General features: G+C 37.1%; 1 annotated feature.

Moving 5' to 3' along the window:
• Positions 4,772 to 4,941: an enhancer, noted in NCBI's record as "experimental_76196 CRE fragment used in MPRA reporter constructs". NCBI's record gives its function as "activates a minimal promoter by MPRAs in K562 erythroleukemia cells, with activity observed for the introgressed 4:171066796 variant allele {active_cell/tissue: K562}" and the evidence as "EXISTENCE:reporter gene assay evidence [ECO:0000049][PMID:34662402]".

Here is an 8,584-nt window from a genome sequence, read left to right on the forward strand (position 1 = left end):
TAAAAGAAGTGTGATAGAGATAAACATTAAGCACTATATATATAATATATATATATATATATATATAACTTTAGTATTGTTAACCAAAATAAACTAGGTTCCTGCACTAGGCCTGACAGACCAAACCAACATAAAGTTGAACTCCAGGAGCTGAGCTTTAGTTACTGCAGGACGCTCCGTAGCCAGTTAACCAATGAAGCTGTATCCAATTCAGTTTTCTGTACACCGTACTTCTGTTTCCTATAAATGCTGTCAGATCATGTTATTAGTTGGAGTTCTCTGAACCTGCCCTGGTTCAGAGGACTGCCTGATTTGTGAATCATTTTCATTCTGTTTTTACTTTGCTTTGCTTTCCTCTGCTCAAATAAAGTCAGTTAAATTTAAATTTGGTCTAAGGTTTTTCTGTTTAACAGCATTGTTGAATCTTAACATTAGAAGTATGACAAAACAAAAACAAGCAAAAACGTAACAGAATATAATAGTTCAAAACACAATATTTGGTATTACAGTGAGACATGGTTAAATAGGTAAGGCATAAATCTCTCTCTGTGAGTTCTAGATCAGCTTATCAAGATCATTAAAATAGCAACAGCCTGAATCCTGAACTTTCATTTTGTCTCTTTGGAAACTGTATTTTTGACATTGACAGGCTTAAGGCAGCCTTATTTATTCTGAAAATAACTAGACAGAGAAGTCTTCATGAGCAAGAATATCTTAAACTTTCATGATTCCAGCTAAGAATAGCCTGTCTACAGTGTGACATATTGGCTACATTTGTCAGCCTTTTTATTCATGAGGATAGTCACACACTTTTAAGATCACCAAACAAAACCACCCTATCCATCCATTGACTTTCTTTCTCCCTTTATCACTCAAAGTGAATTCAGCATTGAATTTGTTTACCTGCATTAGGTAACAGTTTTGGAACCGGTTGCATGAGGGGAAGTAATGATACAGTTCTTTCATTCTATAATATTTTTCGTGAATCCACTGCAGTGTTTAGGGTTATCCATAGGAATGTTTAAAAGAGGTTTTCTGCAGCCGGGTGCAGTGACTCATGCCTGTAATCCCAGCACTTTGGAAGGCCGAGGCAGGTGGATCACCTGAGGTCGGGAGTTCAAGAGCAGCCTGGTCAACATGGTGAAACCCTGTCTCTACTAAAAATACAAAAAAATTAGCCGGGCGTGGTGGCGAGCACCTGTAATCCCAGCTACTTGGGAGGCTGAGACAGAGAATCACTTGAACCTGGGAGGTGAAAGTTGCAGTGAACCGAGATTTCACCAATGCACTCCAGCCTGGATGACAGAGTGAGACTCTGTCTCAAAACAAAACAAAACAAAACAAAACAAAAACTGTATCCAAGAGTAATTTTTTACTTGATTTGATACTTGAGAGATTCTCATGTATCTGAGAAGCACCTCCATCGTAAATATGTGATCCACCCCAACAACTGAAAGCATATTGGTTACAATTTTTGCAGAATTAGAGCACAGCTCATGTTCCTTCTATCTCGTTAGGCATATGGGAACATCACTCTGGATGATGATGTAATTTCACAAGTGTTGACCATTGAGGTCGCTGAGTTATCCTTAATTTCTTGTCAGCCCTTCTGTGTGATATAGGCAGTGTTGCCTCTTACATGCTCACCAGTCTCTACTCTGTTGTCCTGATTGTTGAACTTTGGTGGTGATCACCTCACTCAGATCCACACCCACCTGTTCACCTGTTTCTGAGAGTGGTCCTGAGCATTTCCAGGTTGGGCATGGTAGAGGTTCAGTGGGACTGGTGGAGATTGAGGTGGCAGTAATGGGATCCATTATTTTAAGGATAAAACTTATAAATTACAACTAACAAGACAAAAAACCCCATCTAATCTTTAAGAACAAGATGCTACAGATTTAGCAGTAATGTTTGTGAAAATGTCTTAGGGGCTATAAAGAAGAATATTCTCAAATGAATCAACTGTAATGTAGCAGCAGAAACATCAATATGTTAAACAATATTAGTGGAAGTGAATTTGAGTGAGTGAGTGGGTGTAATCCTCCTCTTGTGAGTTGATCAGGCCACACCTGGGAACTGCTTTCAGGTTTTAGCAATATGCTTTTCTTTCAAAAATAACATTGATTATTTTTATTACAAAGTAATATATTATCACTGTAGAAAATCTAGAAAGCACAGAAAAATACATCAATTAAAAATAATCTATAACCCCGCTGATCGGATAGAATCATTAACATTTTGTTATGTCTTCTTTCAGATATATGCACACACACATAAATACATATGTACATATGATCACATTTTGTTTTGTCATCTTTTATCCCCACTTGACAACATATCTCAGTTTCTCAGTTAAGTGACATTCTGTTGTCTATTCAAACACTTTTAAAATTTATCATATAGGTATACTACACTATTATTCTTAAATATTAGAAGTAATGCTATGATGCACATTATTACAGATAAACATTTGCTTATATTCCTGAACATTTCCCTAAAGAAAATTCTTAGATGTGTAAATTCTGGATAACAAGAGTATTGGCATTACTCTTTAAGAGAGACATGGACAAACCAAGGTATGTTCAGAATAGTGACTTTATTTATGGACTGGAAACAATATCATTTGAGGATAGTTGCAAGAGAAAAAAATGGAGATTCAAAACTTTTCACATATTTCAGTGCTTGTCATTGAAAAGAAGAATTATATAAGTCAAAAATACATTGTTTAGTACCAGTAGCTTGAAGCTACAGGAGACAGATGGTACAGTACCATGTGAAATGCTTGTTACTGTCAGAGCTATTAAAAGTGAATTAGGGCGAGGGTGACTCAAGGGGAAGAGAGTGGCCTGAACTTGGAGGTACTGAGTATAGGCCAATAGCCATTTAAATGTGGCCAAGGGGATTCAGAGGCTAAGCGTGGATCTTACTAAGGCTAAGGACTTTTTTATTATTATTATTTTTATTTTTTGTATTATACTTTAAGTTCCAGGGTACATGTGCACAACGTGCAGGTTTGTTACATATGTATACATCTGCCATGTTGGTGTGCTGCACCCATTAACTCATCATTTACATTAGGTATATCTCCCAATGCTAGCCCTCCCCCTCCCCCCACCCCACGACAGGCCCAGTGGGTGATGTTCCCCACCCTGTGTCCAAGTGTTCTCATTGTTCAATTCCCACCTATGAGTGAGAACATGCGGTGTTTGGTTTTCTGTGCTTGCGATAGTTTGCTCAGAATGGTGGTTCCAGCCTCATCCATGTCCCTACAAAGGACATGAACTCATCCGGCTAAAGACTCTTCTAACGCTCTGAGTCAATAATTTGTCCTAAGTGGAAAATCTTAAGAAATGAATACCTGATGAGTTTTGTTTTTATGTTTTATTTCCATAGGTGTTTTTGGGAACAGGTAGTGTTTGGTTACATGAATAAGTTCTTTTGTGGTGATTTCTGAGATTTTGGTGCCCCCATCACCCGAGCAGTATACACTGTACCTAATTTGTAGTCTTTTATTCCTCATCTCCACCCAGCATTCCCCCCGCAGTCTCCAAAGTCCATTGTGTCATTCTTATGTCTTTGCATCCTCACAGCTTAGCTCCTACTTATGAGTGACAACTTATGATGTTTGGTTTTCCATCCCTGAGTTACTTCACTTAAAGCAATGGTCTCCAATTCCTTCCAGGTTGCTGCAAATGCCATTATTTCATTCCTTTTTATGGTTGAGTAGTATCCATGGCTGGTTAGATTGTTTTGTTGTTTGGTTGTTTTTTCATGTTGGTAGAGGGTAGTTTACACAGGGTTTTGGAAAATATAAAATAAAACCAACAGCTACAAGGTGGCTTATTTGAGAATTCAGGTATATTTTCTTGCTAAAATAATTCTTAAAGTTCACACTTACTCATGGATTTTTTTTTTTTGAGGCAGAATTTCGCTTTTGTCACCCAGGCTGGAGTGCAATGGCATGATCTCGGCTCACTGCAACCTCTGCCTCCTGGGTTCAAGCGATTCTCCTGCCTCAGCCTCCCAAGTAGCTGGGATTACAGGCATCCGCCACCATGCCCAGGTAATTTTTGTATTTTTTTTTTTTTTAGTAGAGACTGGGTTTCACCATGTTGGCCAGGCTGGTCTTGAACTCCTGACCTGAGGTGATCCACCCACCTAAGCCTCCCAAAGTGCTGGGATTACAGGCGTGAGCCACTGCACCTGCCTGGATTGTTTTGATAATGAAATAGATAATAATTTCCATTGTTATAGTGCTTATTATCACCTGGATATTTTAAAATATTAATCAGTTTTTTATTGTTTATAATCCACTCACATATGTAATAGGATGGATGCCCAGCTAAAGGTCCTATGAGGTGTTTTCCTCCCCTTCATTCTAGGGAGAGAACTATCAGAACTTGTTGTCCTTTGTGGATATGAAGGCAGTTTCCTGACAAAGGGTCTTCCTGGATGCAGCTGGAGCTGAGAGTAGCATTTGACACAGAGTAGGTGTGTGTGAATGGATGAATGGATGGATGAATGAACAGTGTAATGCCCTCTGGAGGGTGAAGAGAATACTTCCATTATGTAAGAAGAGAGATGTAATCAGACTCTGTGTTTCCCAGATGGAAAGGAATACCTGCTTGATCTTTGAGGAAGTTGATTCCTTAGAAGGAAAAAGTGACAGTGGCTTAGGGTCTACAAAGGGAGGAAACTAAGCACACTGCTCCTGGGCTTGCCCCTTCGGACAGGCTAAGGATGGGTGACTAAGGGAGATAGAAAGGCCTGTTCTGTCTTGGTCTAATTCAGAAAGAGTTGGGTTATCCTCTCTTTAAGGTCTACTTGGTTCCTCTGTGGGAACAGAATGAATACCAGCCCCGATGACCAGCACCAAAACCAGCATCAGAATCAGCATCATCTCTTGAAAGGGGACTAGGGGTATTAGCTCCCATGTGCCAGCAAGAAGCAGTGGCATTAGTAACACTGTTAGAAGAGTAAAGTTTCTTTTTGCTTGGATATAGAAGTTGGACTGCATTCTCATATTTGGGCTGAGAAAGCTATTACGTTCTTGGGTAATGTAAGGATAAGTTTGCCTCTAAAGAAAGATCTAGGAGAATGTAAGCTAACTGGAAGTAGAAATTCCTGCTCATTTTGTTTATTGATGTGTCCCGCGCATAGAACAATGACCGACACATAGTAGTGACTCAATGAATATTTATTGTATAAATGAATACTGTATTTTCTGCTAATGTGGCAAATAGTGCTTAAACTATTAATCAGGAAAGTAAAAATGTGATGACATGTTCTGATTTGTGGAGCATTTATATCATCTCTTAATTATATATTTGCACATAAATAAGAAGATGGGAATATATGGAAAAAGACTACATTTTTATTCTGAAATCAGAACTCTTTTTAACTCACCTCAATACTACAACCTACCTAAACATAATTTTGTTAATGTCATCACTGTTACCGGTGAGTAGATTATAATACTTATCTTTCAAATCAAATTTTTGTCTGTGTTGTGAAAGCCACAATTAGATGGAGCAAGGATCAATAAAGTATCCAGTTAATACACCAGAATATAAATGAAATGAATCATAGGAAATGAAATGACTTTTGACAAATGCTGAGACAAATGCTGTGGCACAAAACCACAGGTTGTCATTTGAAATTGATATTGTAGGGAAACTGTAGTTGCAGCATGAACTCTAATATATAAATCTTCCATGGCACAGGTGTTCACTAATTTGATTTCTAAAAATGCTAGGCATTATGAAATGAAACATATTTCTGAGCATTTCTGACTCATTTACAGATTCAGATATATTTCTTTCTTTTTTTTCCCTATAGCTCATATAAAGAGACTAAGAAGGATGTTTATTTTAGAGTTTCGAATTTTCATTTTTATTTAAAAGACTAGCCATAACTAGGCATTAAAACTTGTTTTTTGCTATCTCTTTCCTTTTTTGTAGAAAGGCTTCAAGATAGGATTTGAAAATGTCAACAACAAAATAAGACTATTCAACCTGAAGCCTTTTGGCAGAATAAATACATATTTGTGCTATATTTGATACAAATACATAAAAGAGTTTGGGTGGACAGCAGCCATTAGGCAAATTAAAGCTTCACTCTCCAAAGTGTGCATAGGTCGTATTGTGCACCAATGGACGGCAGTTCCTGAGAAGTATAAGAATAAATGGAAATGTTAAGATCAGAATTTATATAACAAGAAATTTTATAAGGCAGGTGAGAAAATACATATGGATATTATAGTTTTTTTAGCTTTATTGACATATAATTGTCTAATAAAAATTGTACATATTAAAGGGGTAAAATGTAATGTTTGATGTACATAAACAATGTGAAGTGCTTACCACACTCAAGCTAATTAATATATTCACCACCTCATATAGTTACCATTTGTGTGTGTGTGTGTGTGTGTGTGTGTGTGTGTGTGTGTGGTGAGGACACATAAAATATACTCTCTTAGAAAATTTCAAGAATATTTTTATTATTAACTATAGTTCCTCATGCTACACCATAGGTCTCCAGAAATTATTCATCTCATGGCTGCAAGGTTGTAACCTTTAACATCTTCGGATCCCTGCGGCCCCACCCACCACTGTCACTAACCCCTGGTAACCTCCCTTCTACTCTCTGTTTCTAGGAGTTTGACATTTTGGGATTCCGCATGTAAATGAGATCATTCAGTATTTTGTCTTTCTGTGTCTGGCTTATTTCACTTAGCATAATGTCCTCCATTTTACCATGTTGCCACAAATGGCAGGATTTCCTTATTTTTAAAGGCCAAGTAATACTCCATTATATCTATCTATCCATCCATCCATCCATCCATCCATCATCTTTCTCTCTCTCTCTCTCTCTATCACCTATCACATTTTCTTTATCCATTCATCTGTTGATGAACACTTAAGTTGTTTTCCTATCTTGGCTCTTGTGAATAATTCTGTAATGAGCATGGGAGTGCCAGTATCTCTTGGAGATAGTGATTTATTTCCTCAGAATAGTATAGTGAGAAGTGGGATTTCTGTATTATATGGTAAATCTATTTTTAATTTTCTTGAGGAAGCTCCATACTGTTTTCCATAATAGCCATACCAATTTACATTCCCACCAACAATATATAAGTTCCCTTTTTGTGACATCCTCACTAATACTTGGTGTCTTTTTGACTTTTTGATAATAGCCATCCTGACAGACGTGAGGTGATACCTCACTGTGGTTTTGATTTGCATTCCCCAGATGACTAGTGATGTTGAGCACTTTTTCATATACCTGTTGGTCATTTGTGTCTTCTTTTGAAAAATGTTTCTTCGGGTCCTTTGCCCATCTTTAAAATTTGGTAATTTAGTTTTTTCTTGTTGAGTTGTAGTAGTTTCCTATGTGTTTTGGAATATTAACTCTACTGGATACGTGGTTTGCAAATACTTTCTCCCATTATATGGGTCATCTTTTCATTTTGTTGATTATTTCCTTTGTCATGCAGAAACTTTTAGCTTGATGTAGTACCACTTGTGAAAGGAAAATAAATCTTGGGGCCCCCAAATCTCTAAGCTAAAGGGAAAAGTCAAGCTGGGAACTACTTAGGGCAAAACTGCCTCCCATTCTATTCAAAGTCGCCCCTCGCTCACTGAGATAAATGCATATCTGATTGCCTCCTTTGGAAAGGCTAATCAGAAACTCCAAATAATGCAATCATTTGTCTCTTGTCTACCTATAATCTGGAAGCCCCTCCTCGCTTTTAGTTGTCCCACCTTTTCAGACCGAACCAATGTTTATCTTACATATGTTGATTGATGTCTCCTGTCTCCCTAAAATGTATAAAACTAAACTGTGGTTTGGGCACAAGTTGTCAGGACATCCTGAGGCTGTGTGATGGGCGCACATCCTCAATCTTGGCAAAATAAACTTTCTAAATTAACAGAGACCTGTCTCAGATATTCGGGGTTCACACACTTACTTGTTTTTGTTTTTGTTGCCTATGTTTTTGGTATCATATTAAAAAATTCATTGCCAAGATCAATGTCGTGAAGCTTTTCCTCTGTGTTTTCTTTTAGTAGTTTTACAGTTTCAGGTCTTTTGTCTAAGTATTTAATCCATTTTAAGTTGACTTTTGTATATGGTGAAAGATAAGGGTCCAGTTTCTTTCTTTTGCATGTGAATATCCAGTTTTTCCGGCACCATTTACTGAAGAGACTATCTTTTCTCCATTGGATATTTGATATCTTTATCAAAGATTAGTTGACTGTATATGTGTAAGTTTATTTCTGGGCATTCTATTCTGTTTCTTTGGTCTATGTGTCTGTTTTTATGCCAATACCATACTGTTCTAATTACTATCACTTTGTAATATAATGTAAAATTAGGAAGTGTAATGTCTCCAGCTTTATTCTTCTTGCTCAAGATTGCTTTAGCTATTCACAGTGTTTTGTGGTTTCATGCAAATTTTAGGATTGTTTTTCTATTTCAGTAAAAAATGGCATTAAAATTTTGATAGTGATTGCACTGAATCTATAGATCATTTTGGATAGTATGGACATTCTGACAATACTGATTCCTCTGATTCATAAACATG

Source organism: Homo sapiens, chromosome 4, assembly GCF_000001405.40.
Source record: "Homo sapiens chromosome 4, GRCh38.p14 Primary Assembly".
NCBI lineage: Eukaryota > Metazoa > Chordata > Mammalia > Primates > Hominidae > Homo > Homo sapiens.